Source organism: Homo sapiens, chromosome 2 (assembly GCF_000001405.40).
Source record: "Homo sapiens chromosome 2, GRCh38.p14 Primary Assembly".
Lineage (NCBI taxonomy): Eukaryota > Metazoa > Chordata > Mammalia > Primates > Hominidae > Homo > Homo sapiens.
The window spans coordinates 64815272-64833125 of NC_000002.12; the positions used below are offsets into that span (position 1 = coordinate 64815272).

At 44.9% G+C, this 17854-nt stretch overlaps 1 pseudogene, besides 5 other annotated features; it reads left to right on the forward strand.

Annotated features, from left to right (window-relative positions):
• Positions 2107-2404, forward strand: RN7SL341P (RNA, 7SL, cytoplasmic 341, pseudogene; annotated as a pseudogene).
• Positions 15628-16827: an enhancer, noted in NCBI's record as "P300/CBP strongly-dependent group 1 enhancer chr2:65058033-65059232 (GRCh37/hg19 assembly coordinates)". NCBI's record gives its function as "activates an origin of replication core promoter dependent on BRD2, BRD4, P300/CBP, MED14 and CDK7 cofactors, with strong dependence on P300/CBP, by STARR-seq in HCT116 cells {active_cell/tissue: HCT116}" and the evidence as "EXISTENCE:reporter gene assay evidence [ECO:0000049][PMID:35650434]".
• Positions 16142-16758: an enhancer, noted in NCBI's record as "H3K27ac-H3K4me1 hESC enhancer chr2:65058547-65059163 (GRCh37/hg19 assembly coordinates)". NCBI's record gives its function as "activates a minimal SCP1, AML or CMV promoter by ChIP-STARR-seq in primed H9 embryonic stem cells {active_cell/tissue: H9 hESC(primed)}" and the evidence as "EXISTENCE:reporter gene assay evidence [ECO:0000049][PMID:30033119]".
• Positions 16150-16399: an enhancer, noted in NCBI's record as "active region_15906". NCBI's record gives its function as "activates an Ori minimal core promoter by ATAC-STARR-seq in GM12878 lymphoblastoid cells {active_cell/tissue: GM12878}" and the evidence as "EXISTENCE:reporter gene assay evidence [ECO:0000049][PMID:35858748]".
• Positions 16410-16519: an enhancer, noted in NCBI's record as "active region_15907". NCBI's record gives its function as "activates an Ori minimal core promoter by ATAC-STARR-seq in GM12878 lymphoblastoid cells {active_cell/tissue: GM12878}" and the evidence as "EXISTENCE:reporter gene assay evidence [ECO:0000049][PMID:35858748]".
• Positions 16690-16739: an enhancer, noted in NCBI's record as "active region_15908". NCBI's record gives its function as "activates an Ori minimal core promoter by ATAC-STARR-seq in GM12878 lymphoblastoid cells {active_cell/tissue: GM12878}" and the evidence as "EXISTENCE:reporter gene assay evidence [ECO:0000049][PMID:35858748]".

Here is a 17854-nt window from a genome sequence, read left to right on the forward strand (position 1 = left end):
TCCTTCCACCATAAGATGATGGGCTAGGGCCCATCATCTAGGAGATACTTGAGCCTATCCCCTAGATATCTAGGTTAGGAGTTCTCTGGAAGCTCTGTGATAAGTGTCGTCTGGAATCCCGAGCAAAGTTCTGTGAGCTTCAAGAATAACTTTTTACCAGGTTTCTTTTAAAAATGAGAGCCCTAGCCGTGTTCCCCAACACCCATCCCCGGCTACTGCCCCTGTGGTAACCCACTCTCTCCAAAGGCTCATGTGCTTGTCTGTGTTGGGGTCAGCCCTGATACTGGGTCCCATGCTGCTCCAAATCTTTCTGCTGTGCTGTGTGGCTCTATGAGACTAAGGTAAGAATGTGCTTCACTGGATATAAGAAAGGCCCACTCACCCTGGGGCACTGAGATTCTGTCAAGGCAGGTCAGCGAAGGAGCATTCTATGGGAAGTTGAGTTATTCTCCCAAGAGAGACTAGAGAAGGTATAGAAGGTATTTCCTATTTTATTTTTTTTAGCATCCCCTGCAGCTGAAGGGGAGCAGAATATACTGCCTGAAAATATGCCACTTTGTTGTATGGGTTATTTTGAGTTGAATGCCATTGAGAATCAACAGATGCACAAAGACTTCTCAAAGCTTTCTTTATCTAAGAGCAGAAACTTCTGAGAAATGACAGTTTCCATCAGTCCTTTCAGGGGAGTTTTATGGCCATGAAGAAGATGGCAAGTCAGCACTGAGATGAGCCTGCACACACAAACTTTACTAAAAACCCTTATCGGCCATTGGCTTCCCCATATATTCACCTTCCCACAATTAACCACCCCTGGAAGCTCAAAACGCTTTTCCTTTGTCTTGCCACTTCTCCACAAATACATTGCCCTTTGTTTGGATGGTAGATAAGGCTTGTGGTCTGACCACCTTTCTAGAGTTTTCATTTCATTTCTGAGAGGTCTTCTCTAGGCATATCAAATGAACATTTTTCTCCTGTTCACCTGTCAGCTTATTTTGCAGGGTCCCAGTCACTGAACCTAAGAGGGTAGAGGAAAAAGGTTTTCCTTCTTCCCCAACACAACTTTGATCCATACCTCAAACATTTAATTGGCACCTGGTCTGAGGCAGGCACTGCCTTAAACTTCTCATTCTAAGTACCTCTTTCATGGCCTCACTACCTTCTCTCCTTTGAGAGGCTTCCAGGCCCCACCTTAGGGCATAAAGCCTCCTGCTTCCCCAGTGCCCACACAGGCCCCAGCATCCAGTCAGTGCCCAGCAAGTATTCAGTCAATAAACTTCAGGCCAGGCATGATGGATCACGCCTGTAATCCCAGCACTTTGGGAGGCCAAGGTGGGCGGATCACTTGAGGTCAGGAGTTTGAAACCAGGCTGGCCAACCTGGCAAAACCCCGTCTCTACTAAAAATACAAAAATTAGCCGAGCATGGTGGCACGTGCTTGTAGTCTCGGCTACTCTGGAGGCTGAGGCACAAGGATTGCTTGAACTCAGGAGGTGGAGGTTACAGAGAGCTGAGATTGCACCACTGCATTCCAGCCTGGGCGACAGAGAGAAACTCTGTCTCAAAAAAACAGAAAAAGAAAAAAACTTAAATTTTAGGGAAAGATTCAAAAGTTGAGGGGAGGAAACGCTGCAAACTAGAGAGTTAAAAACTAATTATTCTTTAGACAGGGGCCTCAAAATCGCCTCAATCAATATTACCGAATAATTAAGCAAACTTTACATTCACACTCTTGGCAAACAAAAGGATTTTTCTAATAAGCTAATCATTAGAAGAGATTGCAAGAGGGAGTTTAACTTAATTAAGAGGATAGTTCACAAACCTGTTGTTTTATCCATTTCCAAATAATAGGCTTACTTACAAATTTCAAGTGTGCCTTAGGAATTTGTTAAAGAAGTCTAAGACTTGTCATTAGGCAAGATTTTAGATCAGTGAGTTTATGTTCACCCTTAAAAGAAAAAAAACAGTGAATACCTTTTAAGTACCCCAATCCTAACTTTTTGCCAATTCAAAATAACCTTAACTTTTTCCACACGTAGTACATGGAGAAGTGTCCTTGCAAAGTATCTTAAGAATGTAGCTTAGTGTCTTCTTTTGTCAGAGATAGTAGCTAGGTGTGGTGGCACGCACCTGTAGTCCCACCTACTGTGGAGGCTGAGGCGGGAGGATCACTTGAGCCTAGGTGTTCTGGGCTGCAGTGAGCTGTGACCATCAGGTGTTTGCACTAAATTTAGCATCAATACAGTGATCTCCCAGGAGCAGGGAACCACCAGGTTGCCTAAGGAGAGGTGAACCAACCCAGGTCAGAAATGGAGCAGGTCAAAGTTCCAGGGCTGATCAATAGTGGGATGGTGCCTGTGGATAACCACTGCACTTCAGCCTGGGCAACATAGTGAGACCCTCTTTTGTGTGTGTGTGTGTGACAGAGTCTCGCTCTGTCTGCCAGGCTGGAGTGCAGTAGCACAATCTCGGCTCACAGCAACCTCCGCCTCCTGGCTCAAGCAATTCTCCTGCCTCAGCTTCCTGAGTAGCTGGGATTACAGGCGTGTGCCACCACACCCAGCTAATTTTTGTATTTTTAGTAGAGACGGGGTTTCACCATGTTGGCCAGGCTGGTCTCGAACTCCTGACCTCAGGTAATCCTCCCGCCTCAGCCTCCCAAAGTGCTGGGATTACAGGCACGAGCCACCGCACCTGGCCAATGTGACCCTCTTAAAAAACAGAAATATTAATGGCACCTCTATTGCAGGATGGTCACTGAGAATTCAGTGAGATTGTGACAGGGAAAATATTTTGGGAAATTTTTAAGTTTTTTTTTTTTTTAAACACTGTATTTATGTCCTATATCTCTTGGCCTTCTCCCATTTCGTCTGTAGTCTTTTACTGCCTTGCAGCATTCATTGCCTCAGGGGGCAAATGACATGACAGAAAAGCAGCACAACAGTTTAGGAGCTGTCAGAAGAAAGCCTTTTGAACTGCAAAGTTTAAGTCTGGGCCTGGCGCAGTGGCTCAGGCCTGTAATCCCAGCACTTTGGGAGGCCGAGGCTGGCAGATCACCTGAGGTCAGGAGTCTGAAATCAACCTGGCCAACATGGCAAAACCCCATCTCTACTAAAAATACAAAATTTAACTGGGCTTGGTGGCAGGATCTGTAGTCCCAGCTACTTGGAGGCTGAGGCAAGAGGATGGCTTGAACCTGGGAGGTGGAGTTTGCAGTGAGTCGAGATTGCACCACTGCATTCCAGCCCAGGTGACAGAGCAAGACTGTCTCAGAAAAAAAAAAAAAAAAGTATAAGTCTGAAATAATTGAAGGTGTCAAGTTTGTGCCCTAAATATTGGAACTGGAAAAACAATCAGATTGCCCTGTCTCCAGGAATATGGGATTATCAGGACTATGGAAGGGAGGAAAGAAGCAAAGCGAGGCAGAAAGTTGGCAGGGTCCCTGAGAGAGGGGCCTGCAGCTTGCTCCTTGCCCAGGGACTTGATCTAGAGTCCCTGATCTGCAATGATGAGTGACAGGAAAGCAGAGAGGACTGGTGCCTCCTGTCCCCAGGGCAGAGGAATTGTTTTCAAAATGTGCTCAGACAGAAAGGCTGTAGGTCAGAACCAGGTGCTGGAAACAGTGGCTTGCTCCCTGTGAACTACGAAGTGGTTTTGAGGTAGCAAAGAGAGTGATGGGTTTTAGATATGGAGTAAAGGAGGACCATCAAGCAGAAGCCTGCAAGAATGTCAGCCCTCACACTGCAACATAACGACAGGTGCCACTGTGGGTAGATAAGCACACGTAATAGCAAGTCCTAGCTACCGCCCATCACCTGGGAACTTAGACAAAACTTGGGATAGGGCAGGGACCCAAATCAATGAAATAAGGATGCTGCCACCTAGCAGAATGGACATTCAAAATAGAAATTAAAGTCATTTATAGAAAAAGTAAATACAATTGCATCATTGCTCAATTTTACACTTCTCATCCAGACCTTGAGATTTGCCCTCACTCTAAGATAATGCATGTAGCTGCTTGATGTATAATATATGCTCAGTAAATGCTAGCTACTATTAATATTATTGTTACCTTTGATCCCAGGACAAGACCCTGAAGAAAGTTCTTGCACTCTTTAAAGAAAGTTCCATTACTTTCTTTTAGAGAATCAAGGAAGGAAAGGGGGGTCATTTTATTCCTCCCAAGGGACACTCAGGTTTGTCACATGAACAGTCATGGTGGGAAAATGGGTCATCAACAACCAGAGAGGACATCTGTGGAGCGTCTTTATGACTGATAGAGTAAGTTCCCTATGTCCCAGTTTGTTGTGGGAAGTTAGGTGGAACCATGTGACTAATTCTAGCCCATGCAATGGAACAGAAGTCAAATATGCTATTTTCCTGCACACTAAAACTTCTCTCCAACCAAAAACAAAGTACTCTGAGGGCCCAGCAGACAGGCAGAACCATGAGAGAGGAGGAGCCTGGGTTTCTGAGACGCTCCCTGGAGAAGAGCCCCTTGGAGAGAGCCAACTAGGACACTTAGGTTGGGCTGTTCCTAAGTTAGAAATAAGCTTTTCTTGGGTTAAGCCATTAAAACTTTGGGGCTGTTTGACACAGCAGTCTATCCTGATACACACTGTACAAATACTAGAGTATGTTCAGTGAGTTCCTGTCAACACGATTGTGGGTTCCCCACCCCCGTACCCCTCTCCCACCCCTGCCACCACACTTCATCCTTCACAGCAGTCTCCTCGGAAGCCAGAGAGTGAGTGGGTATGACTGTACCTTATTTGCCTCGTAAATGTTCTTCCGGATTTAGACATTAACAAGAGTGAGCATAAGTTGGTTTCATTTTTAGGAACTTGAAAATCCTAGATTTGAGAGCATTTTTAGAAATGAAAGGCACATTTGTAGTCATTTGGCCCAACCATTAAAACAAGCAGGGAGAAAACCGAACCCTTGACAGGGACTGCTGTAAGGCCACAGAGCTGGATAGTACTGACGCCAAAATCAGGACCCACTTCTTCAGAGCTGCCTTCAATGTTCCTCTAGGTACTTTCAAATGTCCAGCATAGCATCACATTGACAACTCAAACTTCAAGATTGGACCAAAGTGGACTAAAATTCTGGCTCCACCTCTTACCAGGTGGACCATTTTAGGACTAGCATTTAACTTCTTTGAGGGTCGGTTTCCTTATCCGTAAAATGGAAATAATAATAGTAAGAGTACTTTCCTCCTAGTGTTGTCATGGCAACTAAATAGCTCCATGAATTTAAAGTACATGGCACAAGGGCCAGGCGTGGTGGTTCACGCCTATAATCCCAGTGCATTGGGAGGCCAAGTTGAGAGAATCTCTTGAGGTTAGGAGTTCAAGACCAGCCTGGGCAACATAGTAAGAGCCTGTATCTACAAAAAAAAAAATTTTTTTTAATTTGGGACATGATGGCACATGCTCTGTAGCCTTAGCTACTCAGGAGGCTGAAGCAACAGGATGGCTTGACCCAGAAGGTTAAGGCTACAGTGAGCTATGATCAGACCACTACACTCTAGTCTGAGTGACAGAGTGAGACCCTGTCTCTAACAAAATCAAATTAGATTAAAAAGTTCTTAGCACACATCTGACTCTAATAAAGTCTTAGTATGTTAGTTTCTGCTATTACTTAAAATAATACCAAAGTTGTATGAAAATAATGGGGCAACCTTAACAGAACCACATCACACAGCTTCAGGATTATTTCCTCTGGGAACAGAACTATGCATTCCCTGCTCATGCTTTATTTGGGGCACTGGTTCCTTATCTTATAGGTAGGCCTGACTCCCTCCTCTATCAGATGGCAAACTTCCTGTGGCCTTTCTGTATCCTTCAGGGCATAGGAGTGTGACTTGCACTAAAGCTTGTTGGGGGCCGGAGCCTAGCATGGGGAAGATAATTGCAAGCAGGCATGGGAGTCCCTAACACCCTATTCTTGGCCAGGGTCCCCATTCCTACCTCCTTCTTCAGAGCTCCAGCTCCTGCTCTGATGAAGAGAAGGCAGCCACTCCTGGCTGTCTAGCTGAATGGTCATTATTAAATATGTTGGGGCTCAGAAATTGATATTCTAAAATATGGTGCTTTGACATGCTGGACTGAAGAAGCAGCCTCAAGTTCTCTTTTTTGTTTGTTTGGTTTTGTTTTGTTTTTTGAGACGGAGTTTCACTCTTGTTACCCAGGCTGGAGTGCAATGACGCGATCTCGGCTCACCGCAATATCCGCTTCCCAGGTTCAAGCAATTCTCCTGCCTCAGCCTCCCGAGTAGCTGGGATTAGAGGCATGTGCCACCACGCCCGGCTACTTTTGTATTTTCAGTAGAGACGGGGTTTCTGCATGTTGGTCAGGCTCTCAAACTCCTGACCTCAGGTGATCTGCCTGCCTTGGCCTCCCAAAGCGCTGGGATTACAGGCGTGAGCCACCATGCCCAGCAAGGTCTCTCTGACCTCCCCGCCACTCCCTGCCTAGTCCTGTTTCTCAATTCTCTGTCTCTTCCAAAGCACGGGATAAATTGTTCTCCAAAGATCACTTATCTGCCTAAAGTTCAGACTCACCAAAGAAGACAACAATGACCTCTGGTCCCTTTCCCAAGTTTTCATTAACTGAACTGATATTGCAGGAAGAAAGACTGATGTCTGTCAACACACCTAGACAGACTTTTGTCACAAACCTGCTCTGCAGGCTCAACAGACTTTGTCCCAGGCCATTGTATGCTCTCCAAGTCCATTTATTTTCCCCTAAAAATTATTTACTATCCTTCGAATTGCCACATTTCTCCCATCTCCCTTGTCCTGTGAAGAAGGGTGTATAAGCATCTGTACCTTGTTGGGTTATTGAGTAATTATTCTCCTTCAATTCCCCCGAGCTGTACACCTAAAAATAAAAATTTGTATACCTTTTCTCCTATTAATCTGTCTTTGGTCAGTTGATTTTCAGCAAGCCTTTAGAGGGTGAAGGGGAAGTTTTCTCTTCACCCCTTGCTATGGTTTGGATGTTTTGTCCCCTCCAAATCTCATGTTGAATGTGATCCCCAGTGTTTGGAGGTGGGCCTAGTGGGTCCACTCACTAGTCATGGAGGTGGATCCCTCACGAATGGCTCGGTGCTGTCCTCAGGATAATGAGTGAGTTCTCACTCTGAGTTCACATGAGATCTGGTTGCTTAAAAGAGGGTGGCACCTCCCTGCTCCCCACCCCTGGCCTTGCTCCTGCTCTTACCGTGTGACATGCTGGCTCCCCCTTCACCTTCCACCATGATTGGAAGCTTCCTGATTCCCTCACCAGAAGCTGAGCAGATGTTGGTGTCATGCTTCTTGTATAGCCTGCAGAACTGTGAGCCAATTAAACCTCTTTTCTTTACAAATAACCCAGTCTCAGACATTCCTTTATAGCAACATGAGAACGGATTAACACACCCCTACACTAGAGAAGACTTTGACCTTAAGGAGGTCTAGAGAAGGTAGTAGCCACAGAAATGCTTGGCCACTAACAGGCAAACCTAATTTCTAGGCTCTCGCTATCAATCCATTCAGTCCTCAAGGCAAGAACTTCTATGAAAACCAGAAGATTGGAAAGCCTTGCTAATTCTAGCTACTTGTTCTAGGGGTTACCATTCCCATTTGGGTACACCTATCTCTAGAAGCCAGGCTTGCTCTCAGAACCTTGACCACTTTACTTCATATCACACCCCCAGGGGACGGGGAGCTTTGGAGCATGAAATTCAGATTAAACTGGCTATAGCTCTGGAAAAGGGACAGATTGGAAACTACTCCTCTAAGAATCAGTTTCCCTATTCATTGATTAGCATTTGAGGATTATCCAGGAATCAGAATATTCCAAGGCTGCTTCTGCCAGGAGGTCCCATTAGCAGTAAAACTTCAAATTTCCTTGGCCTAGGCTCCTGCTTGCATAACCCTGAACTTTGACCTCCCACTTTCATTTTAGGAGGCCTCAGTGGTGCACCATGAGCTCACAGACGACTTGGCCATGGAAGCCAAGGCAAGCATTGGCATGTCCACTTCTACCAGTCTGTGAGGAAGCCGAGGTCCCAGTCCAGGGCATCAACTCAGGGATCCTGGGCTGCCAGCCTTAGAGATGACAACTGTGCAGCCATCATCCCTGGGACCCTCACTATTCAGCAAGCCATGTTGGGTACCCCTTTAGGGGGTGAAATGAACCTCTCCCCAGCCCACATGGCACAGTGACCCTTTTGTACCCAAGCAGCCTCTGCCAATGCCACTCTATGCACAGTTCAGGTTCAGATACCAGGCCAGAGCCTGTCACAGTGTAGACCCATGAATGTAGCGGGGTGCAAAACTGATATTTTTTAGCTAAAGAAACATCAAGTTAAAGGCTGCCAGCAGCTCCCAGGACTTGGTTGAAGCAGAAAGTCATCTTGGAGCATACTTTTTTTTTTTTTAGAAATGAGGTCTTGCTCTATCGCCCAGCTTGAACTCAAACTTTTGGGCTCAAGGGTTCCTCCCACCTCAGCCTCCCCAGTAGCTGGGACTACAGTCATGCTACCACCTCACCTGGCAAGATTTTTTACTACCTCACCTGGCAAGATTTTCTTTATTCTATGACAATACCTTCAGTGGCCCCTTCTAGTCATGTAAATGTGAAGGCTAAAAGGTGCTCCCTGCCGTGGGAAAAGGGTGCGGCAACATCTTTTGTAGAAGACAAAGGCCTGTCTACCATCCTTGATATGCAGAGTTGGTTTCAAGCAAAGAGGGGGCCAATTTACAAAGAGGCACAGGATCTTCTAGGGCTCGGGGATGCTGATGTGGCTGATAAGAAAGGATGACAGGAGTTCACCTCCAGGGAGGCAGTGCCTGACCATGGCCTGGGATCAGTCAGAAACGCTGAGAGATTGCCTGGTTCTGCCACTTTGAGTCTTCCGCAGCTACCCTGCAAAGAAGCCTGGCTTTGAGAATAGTGACAGGGCATGAACCCACAGAACAGAGGACCTTGTGAAAACAACCAGTTCAAAATCTGAGCTGTTGAAACTTTATTTTAAGCCTAAAGGAATATGATTATGGGGCCTGAGACATGTGATAGGTGGCTGAAACCTAGGCAGCTGTAACCTATGTTTCTCTAATCACAGATTAGCCTTCTTCCTTACCTACATTATTCTGTAAAATGTTATGAATGACTAAAGGGCACCGGGGAAGATCCTTTCCCTCTTACTGTTTGTCTTCATTATAGATAAACTTTCTTCTTACCTCTCTCACACAGAGACTTCATGGTGATCACATTATCTAAAATGGATTGTTAAATATACTAGTTTAAATTGGAAAAGAAATGAAAACAAGCCCTAAGGGAAGGAAAAAAAACTGACAAATTAAATTGTCGTAATTCATAAACCATTCTTGTATAGAAAATGTTGTAATCCTGTTAAATTTCTTTGTTTCCTTCCTATATAAGCAAGATTTGAACTTTTAACTTAGGGGCACTGACCCCATTTCTCTGGAGTCTGTGTTATCTGAATGACTATCTCAGCCTTTTACGTGAATCAATTCTTTAAACCGGCTTCTGATCCTTCAGTTATTTCAGGTTGTCAGTCTCTGTTGCATGTTAGAATAAGCAGGGGAGCACTGGAAAAATATGAATGCTGCAGCACCTGAGCAGCTCTTTGCACACCAGTGTTCACAGCAGCATTATTCACAATGCCAAAGGGTGGAAATAACCTAAATGTCCACCAAGAGATGAACAGATGAACAAAATGCGATACATACATGTAATGGAACATTATTCAGCCTTAGTGAGGAAGGAGATTGTGACGCATGCTACAACATGGAGGAATCCTGAAGACATTATGCTAAGTGAAATAAGCCTGACACAAGGACAAATACTATATGATTCCACTTATATGAGATGCCTAGAATAGTCAAATTCATACAGACTCAGGTAGAATGGTGGTTGCCAGGGGCTGGGGGATAGGGGGAATGGAAAGTTATTGTTTAATAGGTACATAGTTTAAGTTTGGGATGATGAAAATGATCTGTGGATGGATGGTGGTGATGGTTGTACAACAGTGTGAATATACTTAATGTACAACACTGTGAATATACTTAACGTGAATATACAAATAATGAATTGTAAACTTAAGAAGATGATTACAATGGTAAATTTTGTGTTACGTATATTTTAACCACACGTGCACACACACACACACACACACACACACACACACACACACACAATATCAGGGAGGTAATATAGGGCTTTTCTTGTGTTGGGTACAGCTGAGGCCTCTAATTTAAAAGGGAAGTGAGAAGAACATCCCCTTTTTAAAAGAAAGGTTCTGGACCTTCTGAGCAGGACTTGTTAAATTTACAATTTTTTTTAAAAAAAGAGTTCTACCTTTCTGAACCCATCACTCACTCACCTTCCAGCGATTCATTCTAAATGCTAACAGTGTAAATACTAGGGTGAGAGTTGTCCTGGAGTCCTGGGCATTTCCCTCCCAGTCAAGCCTAGTCAGGGGACCCAAGAGATGGACCCAGACTGCTTGATATAGGTTTCCTGCAGTTAGGAAGACTGGGAAAGTCTAAAGAAGAGGTGTCGGCTGTCCTGCTTTTGATCTAGTGGGCCCTGATATTACTTTTGAAGGGGATCAGAATGTGCCACCCCAAAATATGCCACTTTGGCATAAGGATTATTTTAAGCTGAAGGCAAATGAGAAGAAGCAGGTACAAGAAAAGCCCTCTGCCTTCCCCCTATTTGCCTAAAAGCTGGATATAATTTGTGAAGGTGTTTCCTCCTCTGCTGTCTACCAGAAAAGACAGAAGTTAATCAACAGAGACCATTTTAGATGCTCGTCAGCCCAGAGAGGGCACTGGAGGAATCTGCACAGCAAACCTTGCTCACTAGCCCTTATCTTCCATTGGATCCTCCATATATTTGCCTTCCCACAATTTGCAGCCCTAGAAATTAAAAGTTATTTTTCTTTGTCTTGTCACTTCTCTAAAAATTTATTGTTCTTTTGTTAAGATGCTATATAAACCCGGGTTCTCCCACCCCTTTGAGTTACTCATCTCTGAGCACTCCATTGTGTAAGCAGGATGCACATGCTAATAAACTTCTGTTTATTTTTCTCTTTTGAGAAAATGTCTTTTGTTAGTCAACTTTACAGGGTCTTAGAGAACCTAAGCCAGGTAAAAGAAAAACACATTTTTCCTTCTCGACACCACCACCCCAAAATGACTACCCTCATATATGAACATAGTTATATACATGTAACATATATATTTTTATATATAGCTATATTAATATGTGCATACATATATGTATTGCATGCACACATATGTGTATATGTATATATACACATATACACACACATACTGCAGAAAGCCAGAAAGGTGCCCTTAGAGAGACTGGAAGTGATCCACATCTTGATCTAGGTGGTAATTACCCAGATAGATACATATGCAAAAACTTATCAGGCTGTATACTTAAGATTTGTATATTCTGCTGCATCTAAGTTATATCTCAATTTAAAAGTACCAATGGTCAGGCTTACTTTCAGAGACTCTGGATTTAAATGGTCTGGGACGGACCTCAGGCATCATGATTTCTAAAGATCCCCAGTTAGTTTTATTAATAGCACATAGCCAGGGTTGAGAAACAGTGGGAGCCTCACAATATATCTTGTAGTGGCTGGCTAGTGACCGGTCTATGCCTGGCCTCTGAAAACAAGACTGGCTTGCTTCTGTGGACTGAATAAACTCTGGGGATTATAGGGCAATTTGTGGAGTGGGGGAAAGAACCCTATGTCCTTCCAAGACCTCTCTCCCTACTCCCCCTACACAATTCAACTGAGAAAATCTACCCTGCAGACCACACCAAAAGTTGGAGGATTCAGCCTCCAATACCTCTCCTGGCCAGGGAATCACTGTGTGGTAAGCTGGGGAGCCAAAGGTTTACCACTGCAGGAATTTGACTGCAGGAAATCAGGCCCACAGCTTCAACCTGGCATCTGGACACGTGGCCTATTCACCCAGGGGTGCAAGGAAGGTGGTACACAGCAAGGCAGGTAGGTGGTGGGAGGACACGAACATTTCCAATGACCCTGGAGAAGTATCGCTGAGATGATCTTGGCCGGGAAGCTCCGGGTAAATGCAGTGTAAAAGCTTTGTGACTATGGTCTGGGGAGCTGTTGGATTGAGTATTTATGGTGGTATTTTTCATGGAGCTGGCTAGAAAGCTTCAGAAATGAAAGATTTTTTGGCACCATAAGCCTTGTGCCAACCAGCATATCTCTAAATTAAGTAGAGAAGCAGACAAGCTCTGAGTTACTGGACACTAATTCATGCCTCGGCACGAAAATTTGAGCTGCTCAGAACGAGTTCTTGCAATTAGATATTTTAAAATAACTAATGCATACCAACAAAGAAAGAAGAAAAAACGGAGTGATATCTACTCAAGTCGCTGTTTAATGGCAGAGAGGCTGTAGAAATTGTCACAGAGCCACCCATGGTAGAGCCCCCTTTCCCTTTCCGAGAGGTCAGAGCCATGCTAAACCACTTCGAGTTTTCTGAACAACTCCCCAGAGTCTCCTAAACAGCCATTATACAGTTGACACAACACCAATACCACCCTCAAATCACCCACTCTCCGCTTCAGACCCCAAATGCAAAAGCGAGACCCTCTTTCGTCCCTCTCAGACGTCCTCTTTTTCACTTTACGGTCAACTCTGCCTTTCTAGTATCCCCCACCTCAGCACGATTCTAGCAGTTTCTCTTCTCTCATTATTATTGCTGCCTTTCTCCTTTCTTCTTTGCCTTATTTTCTTTTTCTTCTTGATTTCAGTCCTTAATTCTAGTCATTGCTGTGCCACCGCCACGGTTTTTGCATATCCTAATATTTACTTAATTTTTTTACATCCAGTGATTTTTTTCCCTCTTGGCTCTCCTTTAAAAAGCTAAGCAAAATTATTTTAAAAAGAAACTTTTTATCAATAGAAAACCAATATCTCTTGCTATAAATAGGAGGAAATTATAAAACAGTAAACTAAACACAATGAAAACAGAGCAGTGGCATTAAATTCTAACTGGATACTGTTGCTGACCACAGGCTCTGAGCCTGAGGCCTCCTCATCCTTGGTTAAGAGGGGAGAAAGGAAAAGTTAAGAGAGGTGTTGAAGACAGAGCAGCACCAAACTGAGGCTTTCTCTGTCACATAATCAGAAGTGCCAAGGGCATGGCCTCATCAATCTCTGCTTAATGCTGTGTCCTTAGATCATTTTCTATAGCTCAGGAAATAATGGTGCGAAGACTACTCCAGTGTATTCTTGTTATAGTTTGGATGTTTTCCCCCCAGACCTCATGTTGAAATGTGATCCTCTATGTTGGAGGGGAGGCCTAATGGGAGGTGTTTGGGTCATAGGGGTGGATTCCTTATGAATGGCTTGGTGTCATCCTCACAGTAATGAGTGAGTTCTTGCTCTATTAGTTCCCATGAGAGCTGGTTGTTAAAGAGGGCCTAGCATCTCCCCCTCTCTCTTATTTTCTTTCTTGCCATGAGATCTGCACATGCCAGCTCCTCTTTGCCTTTGGCCATGAGTGGTAGCAGCCTGAGGCCATCAGCAGAAGCCAAGCAAATGCCAGCACCATGCTTCTTGTACAACCTGCAGAACCGTGAGCCAAATAAACCTCTTTTCTTTATAAATGATCCAGCCTCAGGTATTCCTTTACAGCAATACAAATGGACTAAGACAATTCTCTTTACCTTACCCTTTGTTTTCTCTCCCTCATTGCTTCCCTGTTTCCCTGTTTGCCCCTCATTTCTTCCTACTTCCTTCTCCCTTTTCCCCCTTTCTTTTTAGTGCAGTAGGCAAATACTTTTGTTATCTTCAATGGACTAATTACCGTAAGGAAAAAAAGACAGAGAAGAAAATTCAAACCTGGGAAAGATGACCCAAAGAGACATATAGCTAGGCTATACTATGCCCAGGTAAGCCTGGCTTCTAAGGGCTGGCCATTTATCTGCTTCTAAGCCAGCTTCCTGCTCTCAGAGGGGATAGGACTTATTCTCTGACATTGTTTTTGGATACTGTGTCAAGGGGAACACCAGTCCATGGCATGGGGCTGGGGGACCCAGGTCACCCTGTACCAACCCTATCTGCCATCTTTACACACACTGTCTCCTCAGAAAAACTCAGCCAAGAGCAGCTCATGTGGATATGGAAACAAATCCATCTAGCAACTATTCACCGCACCACACAGAGGGATGGCTGGGCTTAGTAGACAGGTGTGACATTGTTAAAAGGTAAAATTATGACTTCCATAAATATATTTTTAAAAGAACACGTTAAGGAATTTATGTTGCTCAAATAATATGAAGAAACCAGATAGGTGTTATAATTGGTTCAAAGGAAAAAAACAACACAAATTTATATGGAGTAAAGAAATGTTGAGATGAATTGCAAATGAAGACAAAGTGGGTTTTTTTCCTGCCAAGTGAGTGGGAGTGAGAAAAAGTCAAATCTCTACCAGACAGAACAGAATTTATGTATCTACAGATTACCTACAATTTATGGATGCGCAAAATAGCCTAAAGACAATGAACAAGGGGCCCGGCACGTGGCTCACACGTATAATCCCAGCGCTTTGGGAGGCCAAGCTGGGAAGATCACTTGAGGCCAGGAGTTCAAGACCAGCCTGGGCAACATAGCAAGACCCTGTCTTTTAAGTAAAAACAAAACAAAAAAATAATAAAAGACAATGGGCTGGGTGTGGTGGCTCATGCCTGTAATCCCAGCACTTTGGGAGGCTCCTGCAGGAGGATCACTTGAGCGCAGGAGTTCAAAAACCAGCCAGGGCAACACAGGGAGACCCTATCTCTACAAAAATTTTTTTTTTGTAGAGACCCTATCTCTACAAAAAATACAAAAATTAGCTGGGCATGGTGGTGTGCACCTGTAGTCCTAGCTACTCAGGAGGCTGAGGTGGGAGCATCACTGAGCCTGAGAGGTAGAGACTGCAGTGAATGGGGCTAGAATATCATAACCCTGAGTGGTGTGCTATAAGTGATATGTAGTTTCCCACTGAAACAATAAATTTTTTCTACATAAGGTTCTTAACCCAAGGGATACACTATTCATTTGATTAATGTTTCCCCAGTACCAGCTCCTTTGGTCATAAGCCACACTGCCTCTCCACCAGACCTCTAACTGGCCTAAGGTTAGGAGAGGATGCCCATTTGACAATCGGTGTAAGGTGTTGGGGATTTGGGTTCCAGGTGTGACTCATGATTAACCAACAATAGGAACAGTGTGCCTAGGTCAAATCACCCAGCCCTCTAGGTCTCTTCATTTGAGTGAGGGACTTGGGTGCTCTCTGACGTTTCTCTAGCTTTAAAGCTCTAGAATTCAAGGGAATAAGAAACATGTTTGTAAATCTTAAACTAGCCCAAGGATTTGTACCAAGTAGGTATAAACCCACAGGTCTGACTGGGTCAGGCCCCACCAGGTCAGCCACTGTCCTGAGGTAAACAGCAAATGAGAGAATATCTTTAGGATTTTCCTCTGTTTGTTTGGTATTCTTTTTTTTTTTTTTTTTTTTTTTTTTTTTTTTTTTTTTGATGGAGTCTCACTCTGTCACCCAGGCTGGAATGCAGTGGCATGATCTCGGCTCACTGCAACCCCCGCCTCCCAGGTTCAAGCAATTCTCCCTGCCTCAGCCTCCCGAGTAACTGGGACTACAGGTGACCGCCACCATGCCCGGCTAACTTTTGTATTTTTAGTACAGGTGGGGTTTCACCATGTTGGCCAGGCTGGTCTGGAACTCCTGACCTCAGGTCATCTGCCCACCTCGGCCTCCCAAAGTGCTGAGATTTCCCGCGCCCGGCCTTGTTTTGCATTCTTACCGCCCCCTAGCCCCGTAACAGTTTAAGGTTCCAGAGCAACCCCGCTGCTGTGATGAACTGACTGAGACAACCCCTTTCCCCTTGTGCTGTTTTCCAGGAAGCACGTGGCTGCAGAAGCAATGAGCTCTTTGTGCCCTCTCTTCCTGCTCCAGGGTTCCATGTGTCTGTGACTCTAAGCCTGGTGTGTGGACCGGGAAACATTCAAACAAGGCTAAGAGAAGCCTGTCAGTCCAGCTCGGGCTACACACTGGGTGAGCCATGCACCACCCAGGAATTTCCAGGGCACGTGCCACGTAAGGGGCACACCCGACAGAGTCCAATGGGGTTCCCCACTGGGCCTCCCACTGAGTTGCTCAGCCTGGGCCGGAAAAGGGTGAGTCACCCTGGGGGTGGGGCTCTCCAGGGTAGAGGCCAAAGGAGTGACTACCATGACAATTCTCCGGAGGGCCTGAGGCGGCGGTGGACAGCCCCGGCAACAGTGGGCCCTCCCCGCAGAACTGTGGTTCCAATCCCTCTCCACCCAGCCCAGGAGTCTCCTGGCCCCAGAAGGAGGAGCAGGAGGCGCCAAAAAGAGGAAAAAGAATTCCTTTTCCAGTCATTTCAGTCCTAAATTTTCCCTGAGACTGCCAGAAAAGATGCTAATGAAAGACCAATTGTGTGGCCAGAGTGTTTTCTTCGGACATCTGCCCAGGGAACTGGAGGATACCCAGTTCAGAAGCGAGGTCACTAGCCCCATCCTATGGCAACACCTTTTGCTCGCTACTGACCCCTACTGGGGAAGTGGAGACAAGCGGCTGAGGGCTGGGAAGCAGCTGAAAGAAACTAGACCCAGACATGTCTACTGGGTTCTTAAATCCAACATCTGCTGTTGGAGGATGAGTCCTGCCTAAACCTTAGGCCACAGATGCAGAGGATCTAACCTTGGGAATTCCGTTTCCTTCAAGGGGCCCCAAAACCTTTCACACTGGACTTCTCTTTTGCTTAACTCCCCTTAATGTTTTGTCCTATGGGAAATGAGGAGCCTTTAAAGCCAGCTTGTCCAACCTACCACCCACGGGCCGCCTGTGGCCCAGGATGCTTTGAATACTGCCCAACATAAAACATTATGAGTTTTTTTTTTTCGCATTTTTTTTCTCATCAACTATCGTTCGTGTTAGTGTATTTTATGTGTGGCCCAAGATAACTTTTCTTCCAATGTGGCCCAGGGAAGCCAAAAATTGGACACCCCTGCTTGAAGGCCTTTAGGAGAATGAAATGAACATGTAGTTACATGTTAGCAGCAGAACAAAGGGAGGATTAGGAGCAAGGCTAGGGTCAGCAGGGGTACTTGATTATTTCTTGATGTCCTACTAGGTGCTGTCTCCAGCAGAAAGACCAGTTAGGAGGCTGTGGCAATAACCCAACAGAAACATCTGGAGGGACTAACAGAGGGCAAGCGGATGGAGGGAAGAGGATGTCTGCAGGGAGGGGAATATTTGGGAAGGACCTCAACTGGCCTTGGTGATGGGTTGAATGGGGTAGGGCTATAGAGAAAGCAGAGTCTAGCACCACCTTCCTGTCTACACCCTTCTCTACCCTGCAGGGTTGGTTTTTGCTAACATCCTTCCAGCAAAATGAGATTTTAAGCAGACAAACAGGTATGGAACATGAATTTTGGTTTGAATACGGTTTGAGATGGGGTCATCGTTGTGGCTGAGAAGGACTTTGGCATCAGTCTGTCCAAAGCCAGGCTTGGCCACCACCAGGATGTGAGACCTTACACAGATGCTTTGTCAGCTTCAGTTTCTTCACCTGTAAAGAGAGAATATGATACCTCCTTCATGGCTTTTAAAAATTTTTTGTTTTTTAGACTTAAATGATATAAGTTGTTTAGTATAAGCCTGTTTAGGAAATACAAGCTTTAAAAAAAAAGATGAGTAATAGGCAACTGAATGCTATAAACATACCTGCATTGTTACTATGAGCCAGGCACTGCCTACGCA